Source organism: Homo sapiens, chromosome 12, assembly GCF_000001405.40.
Source record: "Homo sapiens chromosome 12, GRCh38.p14 Primary Assembly".
Taxonomy (NCBI): domain Eukaryota; kingdom Metazoa; phylum Chordata; class Mammalia; order Primates; family Hominidae; genus Homo; species Homo sapiens.
In genome coordinates, this window is record NC_000012.12 from 94,246,552 (window position 1) to 94,263,154 (window position 16,603).

General features: G+C 43.8%; 1 protein-coding gene across 6 annotated transcripts in view, besides 2 other annotated features; it reads left to right on the forward strand.

Annotated features, from left to right (window-relative positions):
* Positions 1–16,603, forward strand: part of PLXNC1 (plexin C1) — a 159,099-nt gene that overhangs the window by 97,975 nt on the left and 44,521 nt on the right. For 3 of the 6 annotated variants that reach the window (NM_005761.3, XM_047428050.1, XM_011537730.4), the window contains exons 13-20: positions 1,352–1,555; positions 1,676–1,861; positions 4,875–4,977; positions 8,236–8,337; positions 8,642–8,745; positions 12,786–12,824; positions 13,059–13,183; positions 14,091–14,289. In NM_005761.3, the coding sequence (NP_005752.1) occupies positions 1,352–1,555; positions 1,676–1,861; positions 4,875–4,977; positions 8,236–8,337; positions 8,642–8,745; positions 12,786–12,824; positions 13,059–13,183; positions 14,091–14,289 (1,062 nt within the window). Of the gene's footprint in view, positions 1–1,351; positions 1,556–1,675; positions 1,862–4,874; positions 4,978–8,235; positions 8,338–8,641; positions 8,746–9,352; positions 10,142–12,785; positions 12,825–13,058; positions 13,184–14,090; positions 14,290–16,067; positions 16,213–16,603 lie in introns of those variants that run through there. The other 3 variants (XM_006719186.5, XM_011537731.4, NR_037687.2) reach the window with 3 other exon arrangements.
* Positions 2,128–2,328: a silencer, noted in NCBI's record as "peak1895 fragment used in MPRA reporter construct". NCBI's record gives its function as "represses an SCP1 promoter by STARR-seq MPRAs in K562 erythroleukemia cells {active_cell/tissue: K562}" and the evidence as "EXISTENCE:reporter gene assay evidence [ECO:0000049][PMID:32103011]".
* Positions 14,394–15,136: an enhancer, noted in NCBI's record as "OCT4-NANOG-H3K27ac hESC enhancer chr12:94654721-94655463 (GRCh37/hg19 assembly coordinates)". NCBI's record gives its function as "activates a minimal SCP1, AML or CMV promoter by ChIP-STARR-seq in naive and primed H9 embryonic stem cells {active_cell/tissue: H9 hESC(naive and primed)}" and the evidence as "EXISTENCE:reporter gene assay evidence [ECO:0000049][PMID:30033119]".

The following is a 16,603-nucleotide window of genomic DNA, read 5'->3' on the forward strand; positions in this document are numbered from 1 at the left end:
AGAAACCAGTGAAAAAGAGTAAATCGCATGGCGCGAGTTTGTCACGAGTATGGAACTGTAGAGTCTTGAGGATAATAGGGTTGGGTGATCCTCTCACCTGCAATCCTTCTAGAAGGCATCTTCAGTAAAAAGCCAGCCTGCTAGGAGTTAAGGCTGCTGAGGCAGTAGAGACAGTGGTTTTCATCCTGAGGACAGAAATGTGAGCAGGAGATTCAGGGCTATAGTTTGGAAAGATGTGAAGGGAAAGGAAGGTTGTGCTTGTCCAAATCTCAGCTCTTTACATCATATTTTCCCACCAATTGCCTCTTCCTATTGTCTTTTTTATGCTCTAGTATCAGGGGGTGGCGGGGGTGGGGGAAAAATAGTTTTTCCCACCTGATAAATTTCTTTTTATGAGTTATAATTGCTTTTCTGTAGAATGTTTGCCATCCTCCCCTAACCCACCAGCCTCCTCTGCCTGTCCTTCTGTACACCTAAACAGGACAATATATTTATGTTATGTATTTACTAACTTTTTAAATTTTATTTTTTATATATATAGAGAGAGACAGGGTCTCACTGTGTTACCCAGGCTGATCTCCAACTCCCGGGCTCACGTAACCCTCCTCCCTCCGTTTCCCACAGCGCTGGGATTACAGGCGTGAGCCACTACGCCCAGCCTATTTATGTGTTGTTGTTTTTTTTTAATCCTGTAAATCAGGCCACCTTTTTTGCATTGTTTTCAGTTTTCATGCTCTTCATTTCATGGGAGATGCATTGTTCCTTTTACTTTTGTTTTCTCCTGTTTTCTGTTATGCCTGAAAACCCTTGTCCTCCTTGTGTCTAGTGACTTCTGCTAAGGCCCTGCAGGAGGTTCCCCCAACAAAGGGTGATTCAGCTGCAACAAGCGCTTCAGGAGCTGGCCCTTGCTGAGAGTTGGACACTTTTCTTTTCTCGTGGTTTCCCAGGGCTCAGACAGGCTGACCCCAAGGACACCTAAGCCCCTTGGGTCAGAATCTTCCCCTTTCCCTAGCCTACTGCTTTCAGCCTAGTCTCTTTTCCCATGGCATAACCTTCCAGCTGCTTTCATTGTCACTCATGATATTAATCATAATATTAACTAGCATGTTTTGAGTGCTTACTGTGTGCCGGGCCCTGATCTAAGCATGTATAATCTCAGTTAACGTAGCCCTCATTTAATGTAATGTAGGGTGAAGTCAATCCTGTGAGGGAGGTAGTTTTGCTGTCTCCATATTACACATGAGAAAACAGAAGCACCAAGAAGTTAAGTTGCTCAGGTCACTTAGCTCTTAGAGATCACAGCTGGGATTCGTTAACAAAGTTACTAAAACATTCTTTTCTTTTTGTCCAGGTCTCTGAATATTGTGTGGCGACTTACTGCGGGTTTTTAGCCCCCAGTTTAAAGAGTTCAAAAGTGCGCACGAATGTCACTGTGAAGCTGAGAGTACAAGACACCTACTTGGATTGTGGAACCCTGCAGTATCGGGAGGACCCCAGATTCACGGGGTATCGGGTGGAATCCGAGGTGGACACAGAACTGGAAGTGAAAATTCAAGTATGTTTCTTTTCTTTCTGGGTGGGATGTCACCCCGACCCCTTGACTGGAAAGGTGTGTTTATGCTCGTGAGTTTCTACATGTGCTCTGATTTCTCCATCTTCATTTTGTTCTTTACAGAAAGAAAATGACAACTTCAACATTTCCAAAAAAGACATTGAAATTACTCTCTTCCATGGGGAAAATGGGCAATTAAATTGCAGTTTTGAAAATATTACTAGAAATCAAGATCTTACCACCATCCTTTGCAAAATTAAAGGCATCAAGACTGCAAGCACCATTGCCAACTCTTCTAAGAAAGTTCGGGTAAGTGACCTGGCAGTCCCACCTGCTGTCTTTACCTGATTTTTGTGATAATTCCTTGGCTAAACCAGAGGCCAGAATGGAATCTTTCATGGATCTTCAGATCCTCACTTTAAATAGAAGATAAACAAAGCTGGTACTGCGAGCCCAAGCAAAATAGCTCCAAAATAGCTGGCTGAATCCATCCCTGTGCCTGTTCGAACGTCAAAGCGTTGGACACACCATTGTCTATAATCCTAATGAGTCTTGATAGCTTTTGTTCTAGCCACACATTTATACAGTAGGATCGGCAAGCAAAATCTCTAGACCCATTGACAAATGAGCTGTCACTCTTTTCTCAAATGCGGAGGTGACATGTCTTAGCAGAAACCCAAAACAAACAAGGGCCTCTTCAGCACACTCTGGGTAGCATTAGAATCAGATGGAGACCAGATAATCTCTGGGTCATGGGCTGCTTCCTTCACCATGAAGTCATACTTTCTGCGATTAATCTTTTCCCAGATATGTTTGGGGGACGGATCACTGCTATATTTATATCCCATAATAAAGATGTGAGACCACTGAGAAGGGAAACACATTAGAAGTCACCCTTTATAGTATTCATGCCGTATGAGGCTCTGTACAGCCTATATAAATTCTTCTTGATCTATCATCATAAATAATTGGATAAAAGACAATGCAAAAGAACTTCAGACTGGAAGGCAACAACAAAAATGTGTTCATGTCCCACTGGCACCAGTTAATAGCTCTGTGGCCTTAGGTAAATCACTTGAGTTTCCTGAGCCTCTCTTAGTCCATCTGTATGATAAATGGGGTTAATAATAAGTTTTATTTGTTTTTTTAGACAGAGTCTCACTTTGTTACCCAGGCAGGAGTACAGTGGCACGATCTTGGCTTACAGCAACCTCCGCTTCCCAGTTTTAAGCAATTCTCATGCCTCAGTCACCCAAGTAGCTGGGATTACAGGTGCGCACCACCACACCTGGCTAGTTTTTTCTATTTTTAGTAGAGACGGAGTTTCACTGTGTTGGGCTGGCTGGTCCCAAACTCCTTGCCTCAAGTGATCTGCCTGCCTCGGCCTCCCAAAGTGCTGGCATTACAGGTGTGAGCTACCGCGCCCAGCCAATAGTAAGTTTTAAGTCAGGAATAACAACTAGGCTGGGAGAGACAACTCAAGCCTATAATGCCAGCACTTTGGGAAGCCAAAGCAGGAGGATCACTTGAGCCTCTAGAAGTCTGGGCAACACAGTAAGACCCTGTCTCAAAAAAAAATAAGGAACAACAACTCAACTCACCAGTGTTCCCACCTTTCCTGTTAGTTGAGAAGAGCAAATGCTAACATTCTTCATCATTCATGACATAGCTCCTGAGAGCCTACGCTGTGATGGGGACAGACAGAGAATAAAACAGACAAAAACATCTGCCTTTATGGAGGTTCCCTAAAGAGACACAGCGTGAAGAATATAAATAAAAATTGTGTTACTTGGTGGCAGTTGCTATGGAGAAAAAAAGCACCAGTGTGGGGGGGTGGGGGGGTGGGAACAGGAGCAGGTAGGGGGGCCATGCTGCAGGTTTTGCAACGGTGGGCAGAAGAGGCCTGCTTGTGAAAGTGACATCTGTATAAGGAGGAGTGGGAACAAGCCATGGGCTATCTGGGGTAGAACGTTCTAGGCAGAGGGAGCAGAGGGAGCAGAGGTCCTGAGGCAGGAGGCTGCCTGGCATGTTTGAAGAGCAGCAAGGAGGCCAGTGTGACTGGAGTGGAGGGAGCAGAGCAGAGGCTTCTGAGGTTAGAGAGTTCATGGAGACAACAGGAGATGATTAGAACCTTGTGGACCATGGCAAGGGCTTGGCTTGTGGGCTGCAGAAGGCATGGGAGAGTTTTGAGGAGGGCGCCATGAGCTGACTTATTCAGATGACGTCATGAATTTAGTCAGGACAGCCTACCAAGAGGCACTCCCAACATCCCATTTCAGAGATGAGGAAAAAGAGGACTGGATGTGCATACCTAATTCAGGGTTCCATAGCTGAGAAACAGAGCAGGTGGCAGAGCTGGTATGGAGAGCTTCAGCTATCCGGGTCCAAATCCATCCTCCAGCTACTGTGCTCAGATGCCTCCACGGGGGCAGCATGAGTCCAAGGATGGAAACACGCCTTAATACTTGTATGTACATCAGTGAAATAATTAAGCTTCATGTAGAGTTTTTCCCTTGACAAGTTTCACAAAATATAACCCAAAAAAATGCTAAAACTGGAAAAATCCCTCAGGGATGATCTGATCAGCACTGCCAATCTGGTTTTTGCCACAGAATGTTTTATTCAAAATAGGATGCCAGGTACAGTGGCTCACACCTGTAATCCCAGCAGTTTGAGAGGCTGAGGTGGGAGGATCGCTTGAGTTCAGGAGTTCGAGACCAGACTGGGCAACATAGTGAGACCCCGTCTCTACAAAAAATTTAAAAATTAGCCAGGTGTGGTGGTGTGTACCGTAGCCCCAGCTACTTGGGAGGCTGAGGTGGGAGGATCACTTGAGCCCATGATGAGTTCAAGGCTACAGTGGGCTATGATCACACCACTGCACTCCAACCTGGGCAACAGAGCAAGACTTTGTCTCTAAAACAAAAACAAAATAAGCCTGCCTGTAAAAATGATAAAAATTGAGTTTCTTCCTTAGAATAAAGGGCAGGCAGGGGCTTCTTGCCTACAGGTTACTACTGCCTCTTTATTGCCCTCACTCCTGCAACTTAAAACCCCCAGAGCAAAGAGGGCCAAAATTAAGACTCTGAGGGTCTAGTCCAGCATGTGTCAACTGACATTTCAGGAAACTGAGGCACAGTGAATATTCTGGATTTGCCCAAGGACACATAGCTAATCTGCCACAGAAATGAGAGTTGAACTCAGATATCCTACCCAGCTCACTGCTTCTTTTTGTATTGTGAAGCCATTTTAGGGGGGAAATTATGTAAATAAATACAGTCCCCAACTCAATTGGGTCTAATGACATTCTTTGTCCCATCAGGTCAAGCTGGGAAACCTGGAGCTCTACGTCGAGCAGGAGTCAGTTCCTTCCACATGGTATTTTCTGATTGTGCTCCCTGTCTTGCTAGTGATTGTCATTTTTGGTAAGTGCCCTGTTTAATTTTGTCAGAGAAATTATTCCCTGGGGCCTCTCGCCGGGCAGGCAGACTTTCAGCTTTCAGGGGCTGTTTGCTTCAATTAAGTATAAATGGGTGAAAGCCCAAATCAAAACTTTGAGAAACGAATAATAGGTACACGCTGAGGGCTTTCTAAACATTTCTTTTGGCCAGGCGTGGTGGCTGATGCCTATAATCCCAGCACTTTGGGACACTGAGGCGGGCGGATCGCCTTGAGGTCAGGAGTTCAAGACCAGCCTGGCCAACATGGCAAAACCCCGTCTCTACTAAAAATACAAAAATTAGCCGGGCGTGATGGCAGGTGCCTGTAATCCCAGCTACTCAGGAGACTGAGGTAGGAAGAATTGCTTGAACCCGGGAGGCGGAGGTTGCAGTGAGCCGAGATCACACCACTGCACTCCAGCCTGGGTGACAGAGCAAGACTCCATCTCAAAAACAAACAAACAAAAAACAAAATTTTTTTTTAAAGGATGCTTCATTAATAGAAGGCTGGATTACACAGATGGTATCTTGGGATTTGAGGGATATAATCTACTTTGCTTCTCCATTCCTTCAAATTGTGGTGACAAATGTTCATTTATGTAATTCCCCAAGAACTTCTCTGGGATTTTGGGCTCCCAGGACTTGGTTATTTCATCTTGACCACCCCCCACCACCCATCACCCCAGCCTCATTTCAGTCTTGATTTTCTGGGCAGAACCACACTTTAGAAGTGTGGTCATGCCTGGGCACAGTGGCACACACCTGTAGTTCCAACACTTTGGGAGGCCAAGGAGGGAGGACGGCATAAGTCCAGGAGTTTGAGGTTACAGTGAGTTATGATCGTGCCACTGCATGCCAGCCTGGACAACAGAATGAGGCCCTGTGTCTAAAAAGTAAATGATTTTTTTTAATAGAAGTGTGATCTATGTCATCTCTTAAAGTGGTCCCGGGCCCATCCACACACAGTGAGCCCATGGTGGTTGCTCATTGGCCAAATCTGGTCCACCAATATATTTTGTTTTGCCGTGTAGCATTGTCTAAAACTATTAAGTAGCTTATAACATTTAAAAATTAGTGATTCACATTTGGAAACGTCTCTTGAAAATGTGAAAGATTTGGATCATTGGATCCCAAATTTCCATAGCATCAGTTTATTAGAGCTGAGTAGCAGCTACGCCCTAGAGAGAGGGAATGTGCTCCCTAGGTTTTGACCACAGTCGCCACCACTCCATATTGTCTCCACCTAGGCCATTTAACTCATCTATGTACCTGATATCTGTAGCCATTTCGTTTGTGACTCTGGTTCTGAGCTGCTTGTCATTTGAAGTCTATTTTCTCTCATCCTTCTTTGAAAAAGGAACTCTTATCCACCAACAAATAGCACTTTGGCTGGGCCCGGTGGCTCATGCCTGTAATCCCAGCACTTTGGGAGGCTGAGGCGGGTGGATCACGAGGTCAGCAGATCGAGACCATCCTGACCAACATGGTGAAACCCTGTCTCTACTAAAAATACAAAAATTAGCTGAGTGTGGTGGCACGTGCCTGTAATCCCAGCTACTCAGGAGGCTGAGGCAGGAAAATCATTTGAACCCGGGAGCTGGAGGTTGCAGTGAGCCGAGATCGTGCCACTGCACTCCCGCCTGGCCACAGAACAAGACTCCGTCTCAGAAAAAAAAAAAAAAAAAAAAAAAAAAAGCACTTTGTATTTCCTGATTTAACATAGGTATTGACTTTCTGAAATTTGACAGCTAGTACAGGCAGTTGCCAGTGTCTCCTTCTATACACTCATTTATTCACTCATTCATCCCTGCATCTATTTACCTTATGTTCATTGAGCACCTGTTATGTTGCTGATAACTGTGCAAGTCTCTGGAGCTAGAAAAAAATGAGCCTTTGCGTGCATGAGCCAGTGTTGCTCAAACTGAGGCCTGAGGAACAGTGGTCCCAAGTGACTGTCCTGGAAAAAGGGGTTCCATGGTCAAGTAAGTTTGGGAATCACTACATCATACTCCACCCTTTCTTAGACATGCACAATGCATGTTATTAAGACTGTTGACTTTATGAAGTAGTCCAGTGAAGAGCCATATTTGTTTCCTCCAGCATTATTGGTAGCAGAGCCCGTCTATTATGTAATTTCTTTTTTTTTTTTGAGAAAGGGTCTCACTTTTTTGCCCAGGCTGAGTGCAGTGGCACGATCACGGCTCACTGCAGCCTTGACCTCCTGGGCTCAAGTGGTCCTCCCACCTCGGCCTCCCAAGTAGCTGGGACTCCAGGCATGCACCATCGCACCCATCTAATTTTCTATTTTTTTGTAGAGACAGAAAAATATCTTTCTCTGTTGCCCAGGCTGATCTCAAACCCCTAGCCTCAAGGCATGCTCCCACCTCAGCCTCTCAAAGAGCTGGAATTACAGACGTAAGCCCCCGCACCTGGCTGTAATTTCTATAAGGAGGAGAAGCTTCCTAGAATAACAGTGGTTGATTGTTGAATACCTATACTTTTTTAAACAATACATTCTTAATGCTTTTTGTGAGTTACTTCTTATAATCCTCCCAGCATCACAGTGAGATAGGCACTCTTACAGAGAAGGCAGCCAGGCACAGAGATGCTGAGGAACTTAACCCAGGTCACATAGCTAGTAAATGGCAGAGCAAGGACATGAACCCAAGCACCAAACTGGGTTGGTTTATGGCCTCTGCAGCACAGTTAGAAGCAATATGGAGGTATGGGAGTTCCTTGTGGCTCGCTCATCATGTCACCCCATTAGCTCTATGCAGGTTTGGCCCATGTAGCCAACTGTGGATCTGCGGTTCCTTTCTACGTTTGCAGCACAACTTTATTTCTCCAGGGATGCTTACAAACATTCAAAAACAATGGAACAATGCAAGTGGCTGCAGCTGTGGGGAAGAAACTTGGCTTGTTTCATTACGTTTCAGCCAACTGGGATCTTTGGTTACAAGTGAAGGTTATTTGATTTAGCTTTCACTTGTAAAATGAGTAAGGTTTTGGTTTTTTTCTGCTGCATTTTGGCATCTTCCTCTTCAGAGTGACCCCTCACTGGGAAATTTTCTTATAAGATCCAGCTTTTTAATGCTATTTTCTAGTTTCATTCTAGCTCCTGCTCTCTGTCCCTATCTGTTTTGTTTTTGTTTTTGTTTTTAAGAACTGTAAAGATTGCTATTTGTTTTCATTTTTGGTTTTTGAGTTACCATGTCCCTCTGATGCAGCATCTCTGTCTCTTAGCGGCCGTGGGGGTGACCAGGCACAAATCGAAGGAGCTGAGTCGCAAACAGAGTCAACAACTAGAATTGCTGGAAAGCGAGCTCCGGAAAGAGATACGTGACGGTAGGCTCCAAAATTGTGTTTGTAGAAAAACAAGCCTTTTATATTTATACTTTTATTTTTTTACCCTTACATAGAGATGGCCACAGTAATGAGAACTGTTTGTATAATAGAAGGCAACGGAAGGGCAGGGCCTGGGCCTGGCTTTGTGTTTTATTTCAGCTCTTCTCTGCAGCCAACCAAGTCATTATCTATTGTTTCTTCTTTAATGAAAACCAAGGTCATACTCTGTGTTAGACAAAACAGCAGAAGATCCTATCCATTGTTTGTTGAGTTAAAATATTGCTCTTGGGATTCTGTTTTGCAGGCTTTGCTGAGCTGCAGATGGATAAATTGGATGTGGTTGATAGTTTTGGAACTGTTCCCTTCCTTGACTACAAACATTTTGCTCTGAGAACTTTCTTCCCTGAGGTAAAAGAGCATTGATCATATTCCGAAGGTTGAGTCTTGAATAATAATGAAGGTGCTTGTTGCTGTTGTCAAAACGAGTGTTTGCTTCCAAGGCAGCTATAATGTGCTTGGTACAAAAATAATGGCTTAAGTTTGAGCAGAGCAGGGAGGAGGGTAATTATTAATTGCATTGATTAGGGTATAAAACAGTGATGGGTCACTGGTGATTATTCTTTGCCCAGTAACAAAAACCTAGGAGGGACAGAAGCTCAGAGTGATGATTTTTGCTTTCTTTTACTCTCAATGTAGAACTGAATGTGTAGCTGGGAAGTGAGCTAGTTTATTTAAAAATCAATAAATTGTGAGCTAGCCAATTTGTTGTGTTTATCTGCATGACTTACATTGCAGTGACTAGATTATTCACTATTACTTCTCAATTGGAAAGGAAAAATACTACTGGTCAAAAGGGAGGAAAGTAGACATGGATGGAATTGGAGTTGAAAACAGGCATTTTTAGCCATGTAGAGTTCTTATGGTTCTCTTTGGTAGTTTTTCTTTAGCTGGTCAGTTTGTATTGTCCTCATTTAGTAGACGTAGATGCACGAACTGATTAATTCATTTGTTCTAGGGCTCTGAGGAGTCGTCTACTTAACCTTTTGGGTTGCTGGTCTTACCTATGTTCTCACGCCTCCATTTTCTCACCCACTCACTCAGCCTTCTCCATTTACCCTCCCAAGTCTTTGGCGAGGTACACTCATCCTGCGTATCATCACTGCCATGTCCTGATACCCCAGCTCTGCCATATTGCCCTTCTTTTTTGCGGTATGATGACCACATAGAGGCCCAACCTCTTAAACACATCAATACCAATGATCACATTTCAATCTAGACTTCTAAGCAACGGCTGAAATCTCTCCAGGCCAAAGGAGAGTTTGTATCACCTTACCAGAAGCTTCTCCGGAACAATTGGCCAGAAGCCTAGAGTTCAGAAACCCAGACACATGCAGTAAGCAATTTCCAGTTTCTCTATAATTTAGAAGAGGACACCATGATATGTAATGCGGGGTCTGGAGGTTGGAATGCCTCCATAAAACACCTGCCATATTTTTTGGTCCAAGCCTTAGTGTTATAAATCAAGAAGGCTGTAAATAAGACTTCAGCTTTTTGTGCTGGTGAAGTTTGTTTCCTTTAACTTATCCTCCAAGAGTACCGAGGCACCGAGATCTACCATTTGCCACCTCATCCATTTCTATGGCAGAACACCGCCTGGGGAAAGGAATTCGATTCCCCGAATCAGGATGACTGTGTGGGGCTTCTGCAAAGGTTGCATCACGAGTCCTATTTCTGAGCTATCTGAGATCCCCATTAAGAATTTAAAAGCAATAAAATAACGGAGATTTTTGACTATCAACATGAATGCTGTGTGGGCTTTTACAGTTAATGATTGCCCTTGAGTGCTGAATAATCTGTGGCCTGAAAAAAGAAATGTTCTTATCTTCTAAATTTGGTAATCAAGAACAAGATAGAGTAATGAATGTAAAGGAACACTGTTGCAAGTTGAGTGTTTCCAAAAAAAAAAAAAAAAAAAAGATCCCAGGAACAATGCTACCTTATTTTAGGAGAAGAGAGATAGTTGCAAAGGAGGCAAACTGATTTAACTCAGTGTTGTGTATAATCTTGAAAAACAACTGGGAAAGTCATAAAAATTGAAGTCAGAAGTTGTTTAAAGGAGAGAACCCAGGAAAAAACATGCATAAATTTGTCAGAACCCTTTCAAGAAGACCTAAGTCAAAACTGATTTTATAATAATTAAGAAAAGATAGAACAGGGAAACAGATCGTAAGAAGACAATGCCACTTAAATGCATTCCAGGCTGCAGATAAGTCCTGGTATTAATTAGGCTCTTTATGGATTGATCAGAAGCCGAATCCTCTAGGCCTGGAGGTTGGGGGCTGTGGGGGTAGGATTTGGGTGTTCAGCACCTACAAAAAAGCAACAGGCAAAATCCAGAGGAGATTGTAGGTTCTCAAAGGAGGCCAGGGTTCTTTGCTCTGCCTGTCGGTTTTGGCTTTTAAAGCCTTGCTTTTTATTTTATTGACTCTTCTTTGCTTTGCATAAAGTAGGAGAAGAAATAAGGGTAGGCAGAGGATCTAAGCTGAAGAAAAGGGAAATTTGAATGAAAGGAGGAAGCAGCCTTAAAACTCAGAGAGCCACGGGTCCAGGCGCGGTGGCTCAAGCCTGTAATCCCAGCACTTTGGGAGGCCGAGGCGGGTGGATCACTTGAGGTCAGGAGTTAGGGACCAGCCTGGCCAACATGGTGAAACCCCGTCTGTACTAAAAATACACAATTAGCCAGGCATGGTGGCGTGCACCTGTAATCCCAGCTACTCGGGAGGCTGAGGCAGAGAATTGCTTGAACCCGAGATCAAGACCATCCTGGCTAACACAGTGAAACCCCGTCTCTACTAAAAATACAAAAAAATTAGCCAGGCATGGTGGCGGGCGCCTGTAGTCCCAGCTACTCGGGAGGCTGAGGCAGGAGAATGGTGTGAACCTGGGAGGCGGAGCTTGCAGTGAGCCGAGATAGCGCCACACTGCACTCCAGCCTGGGCGACAGAGCGAGACTCTGTCTCAAAAAAAATAATAAATAAATAAAAAGAATTGCTTGAACCTGGGAGGCGGAGGTTGCAGTGAGCCGAGATCACGCCACTGCACTCCAGCCTGGGCGACAGAGGGAGATTCCGTCTCAAAAAAAAATAAAGAATTGCTTGAACCCGGGAGGCAGAGGTTGCCGTGAGCCGAGATCGCGCCACTGCACTCCTGCCCGGGCGACAGAGCAAGACTCCGTCTCAAAAAAACAAAACAAACAAAAAAACACACAGAGAGAACCAGGGCGGCACTTCCGTATTTACGATTAAGAATCAACCTGTTTCTCCTGTCTATTTACATGAAGTTGGTTCAGCAGAAAAATATTAAGAACCAGAAAATGCAAACCTAGGGTCTGGGGGTTTTTTTGGTTTGTTTTTTTGGGGCTTTTTTGCTTTTTACTAGGGGAGGATATGGCCAAAATAGTTTCAGGTCTTTTGCTTGGGCTTGCAGATTTGAAACTATGAAGCAAAATTCTCTACAGAAGAAATTTACTTCACAAGATATAAAATTAGCTCAAAGTTTCTATTATTATCAAAAAAGAAGAAAAACTTGAATGTTTTGAGTTTAGAGTCTCATTCTGTGGACTTAAAGTATTGCTTAACATACTTTTAAAGTTTAACCATTGATTTTTAATAAGATTGATGATACACTATAAACCCTTTTTATATTCCAGAGCTACCTAGCATTTAGAAACCAGTGGGGTGATAGCATTGTGGTCTAGTTTGCTATAAATTAGGAATAAAACCAGTAATGATAACTGACACAGGGCACTTACTCTGCACCCATTTTATTTTCACACTAAACCTCTGAGGTGGGAACCATTACTGTCCCCATTTCAGAGATGAGGCAAGTCAGACACAGAGAGGTTAGGTAACACATCCCACGTCATGTGACCAGTATGTGATTAAAACCAGGACTGGAACCCAAGTAGTTTGGTCCAGATTCTATGCTTTTAACTACCCCCTGTCTTTCAATATCATTGTGTATTGAAACAGTAGATGCTACTTAGGTAAGACTTGTAAAACTTAACAACGTAATTTAGTCTTTATCTTTAGAAGGTAAATTGCTTGAAGAGGGGTCTGATATTTGCATAATCTTCATCAATGACCCCTTCTTTAACTCTTAAATCACTTCTTCTAAAACGTGGGATGATACCTTCATCTACCAAACCTGGAACTAATGCCATGATAATTATTATTCTTAGAGGCTTTCGGAATTCAGTGGCGTTTCTTGAAAGCTGAATAATTATTTATTATGTATTAGAGAATACGCAGCCACCATAAACCCAGGGGCGCTTCAGATTAGCAAATAGTGTCTCTACTTTATTAAAACGGACTTGGGTATTATAACAAAAATACACTCTTCATTTCCTTTGGATGTTATGAATAATAAAAGTGTCTCCTTCCTCTCAGTCAGGTGGCTTCACCCACATCTTCACTGAAGATATGCATGTAAGTCTCTACGTTTTCATTTTTAGCCCAGTGACTGCCTGATGTTCATAGTGTTATCATCATCACTATCATCTCTATTATTATTACTTTGAATTTTTATTGTGGGTTTTTTTTGGATCATGAATTCAATATTGAATAATTCATTGTCTTGGAAAACCCATTGTGGGTCTACTTTCTAACTTTAAACTTATATATGATTTTGTATTATACTATATATTTTTTTCTTTTTATCAGAACAGAGACGCCAACGACAAGAATGAAAGTCTCACAGCTTTGGATGCCCTAATCTGTAATAAAAGCTTTCTTGTTACTGTCATCCACACCCTTGAAAAGCAGAAGAACTTTTCTGTGAAGGACAGGTATTAGTCCATTCTTTGATGTTTTAAAAGCCTTTAAGAAAAAATCAGGCCGGGCATGGTGGCTCATGGCTGTAATCCCAGCATTTTGGGAGGCCAAGGCAGGCAATCACTTGAGGCCAGGAGTTCAAGACCAGCCTGACCAACACAGCAAAACCTTGTCTCTACAAAAAAAAAAAAAAAGAGAGAGAAATCAAACCTGAGTCCCATATTTTATTTCCAAACCACTATCTGAACTTGGTATCTTGAGAACATGCACTTTTCCAAAGGCTATTTGATTGGGAGTTTATGCAGCCTTCTCTCCATTTTAGATCATACCACCCCAACACAATTTTTTTGTTGTTGTTGTTGGAGTCTCACTCTGTGGCCCAGGCTGAAGTGTGTGATCATAGGTCACTGCAGCCTCATCCTCCTGGGCTCAAGCTACCCTCCTGCCTCAGCCTCCCCAAGTAGCTGGAACTACAGGTGCATGCCACCACACCCAGCTAATGTTTTGTTGTTGTTGTAGTAGAGATGGGGTCTTGCTATATTGCCCAGGCTGGTCTCAAACTCCTGACCTCAGGTGATCTGCCTGCTTTAGACTCCTAAAGTGCTGGGATTATAGGCGTGAACCACCATGCCCGGCCCATAAATTCTTAATAAAAAAAGCAGAAGTGTTAATTTTTATTTTTAAAACATCCCGAAACTTTGGAAGACTCACATCTTGTTACCACTCTAGTTTAAATGCTGAAAACACAGAAAATGTTCTAGAGATAGAAGTGGTTAGAATCTAAACATTAAAAAAAAAAAAAAAAAAGCTCCCAACCCAACAGGCCAGCTCCCTGCCCTGCCAGTGAGCTTCCATGGAAACTCCCATGGGTGTCCAGCTAGGCCTGCAGCCAATGGTTCACCCAGCTCTCTTTTTCAACAGGTGTCTGTTTGCCTCCTTCCTAACCATTGCACTGCAAACCAAGCTGGTCTACCTGACCAGCATCCTAGAGGTGCTGACCAGGGACTTGATGGAACAGTGTAGTAACATGCAGCCGAAACTCATGCTGAGACGCACGGAGTCCGTCGTCGAAAAACTCCTCACAAACTGGATGTCCGTCTGCCTTTCTGGATTTCTCCGGGTAAGTGTCACATCCCTCAGCAATGTCAGAGGTAAGACAATAGGCAGTTATTTTTAGCGGACTCTGATGCCTTTGCCAGGATAAATCCTGAATGCTCGATGGTGTCAGCACTTAACCATGTTTCGTCTTGGTCCTGACCCAGAACAGAGAGAGGGAAAGTAAACATTGTTTTTGCTGCAACTGGCCTATGCAAATGTAATTCATTTAGAATTTCGTCAGGTGAGACTTTTCAGGTGAGTTTACCTTCTCACGTCAATTCACACCCAGAGCCCAGTCAGCCCATTTAAGAAAATGTACTGAGAAAAGGGAATATTTCAAACACCAGAGAACAAACTGTTTCAGGCCCTCTGAAGCATTGTAGAAATACCCGTTGCCTACCAATATGCTGTAAGCTAATTGCAGTCAATTCCTACCAGTCATTCCGCATTAAAGCAGCTCTCCAAAGAGCTGCCTCCCCCTGGAGTTTGCTTTGTTGGAGTTACTGTGTGCATGTGGTTGTCACTAATTGAACTTTAAAATCTTTTCAAATGCAAACTTTCTATAGATTCCAGTGGAGAAGAGGGTGGGCCCTAAAGTCTGCTACTTGATCTGAATCTAGACTTCACCACTTACTTGGTTTTATAAACTAGAGAATTGGAAGAAGATTTTAGGACTATTTTGAAGTACAGATGAGAAAACATAGGCAATTGCTTAGCCCTAAGGAAGCCTCCATAAATGTTGGCCGTTACGATTATAAAATATTAATGTGAAAATAAGGGTGTCCTGTTGAACTCGATCTTCACCCAGCCCTCTGAGGCCCCTGGTACAGAAGATTCTTATCCTTTAATTTTACCAGCCATCCAGATTTCAGCAAAACTGCATAATTGTGTATTTGTAGCTAGTTCCGAAATCTAATTAAACTTTGAATAAGATACACTGCTATGCCACAGGTTTTAACAGTGCTACTTAAGTTTAGATCCAACAGCAGTGCTTTAAATAGACTGTGCTTAGTTTAATGTTTAATGCAATCTTACAAGTAGATGCACAACAATTTTTTTTTTAATTTCTCACCAACCCCTCCCTCTCCCTAAGGCAATACCCATTTATTAAGATTAATGAAATCTGCCTTCTTTTCTGTTTACTTGGTATAAATCATCGGAGGCTTTGGGGAGATGTTGAGCCAGTTATTTCTGGGACGAATATTTTTTTGTTTCCCACTGTCTTTGCTTTAGCCACAACAGCTGCTAGATGGAGGCACCAGGACTCTCACCCAGTTCCCTGGTCTTGGTCTTCAAAGGCCAACTCCTGCCCCACCACAGTCTCACTGGATCAGAAGCTCCGGAAGTGGAGCCCAGTAATCCATGATTTTCACAAGTCCCTGGGATAGTAGAGAGAGCACCACACTAGGGGTCTTGGTTAGAAGCAGCAGGTCTGGGCTCTGGAACCATCTCAGCCCCGGTCAGCTGTGTGTCCCTGGGCATGGCTTTTTCCATCTGGGCATCTGTTTTCAATCCACCAAATGACAGGCGTGTGTGGGCGTTGCCTTTAAATCCCTTTCCAGCTCTTTCTACTGGATCTTGTGATTCTTAACTCTGAGCTTTCAAGGGCTGCTCTTGGGCATTAGAGGGGTGAGATGTTCAGAAAATCTGGGCTGCGAGCCCAAACAGCCTCCTTGAGCAAAGCATTCTGGGTCAAGACTTCACAGTGCTGATTCAAGAGCGTCTCGAGCACTCTGAGTGGTGAGGGGGCGGCTCGGCTCGCCAGGAGGAAGTGGCATCCAGCCAGTCGGCGATACTTTCACTTTCAGTGGAATAATTCCCGCTGGTGCAGGGGTCTGATGTCCCTCCACCAGGTGCTCAAGGGGGTCTGGGACACCGACAGCCCTAGTCCTCCTGTCCTACCCCACAGACGTTTAGTGGGTGACAGTAGCTCCGTGACCGCCAGGTAACTTTCCCTTCCAAGACACCAAGGATTTGTGGGTAAAATAATAATACCATTTATTGAATGTGCCAGACAGCATGCTAAGAGCTTTACCTATCTTTTCTCATTTCATCCCCTTAAGGGTCCTGTGAGCTAAGTGTCTTCATGACCATTTTGTATATGGGGGAACTGGAACACAGAAGAGCTGTGACTCTCCCCAGATCTCACTGCTACTGTGGGACAGCACCAGGGTCCGAGAGCTCTTAGCCACCGCCCTGTGCCCTGAAAAGATGGAATCTGCCCTGGTCTGTTAAAGTGTCGAAGCCTGGCCCCTGGGGGAGGGGAATCACGTACGCAGCGGCTGTGGCTCGCCTAAAAGTTGTGTTTAGTGGTGACAGAGAAACCTCATGGCCCT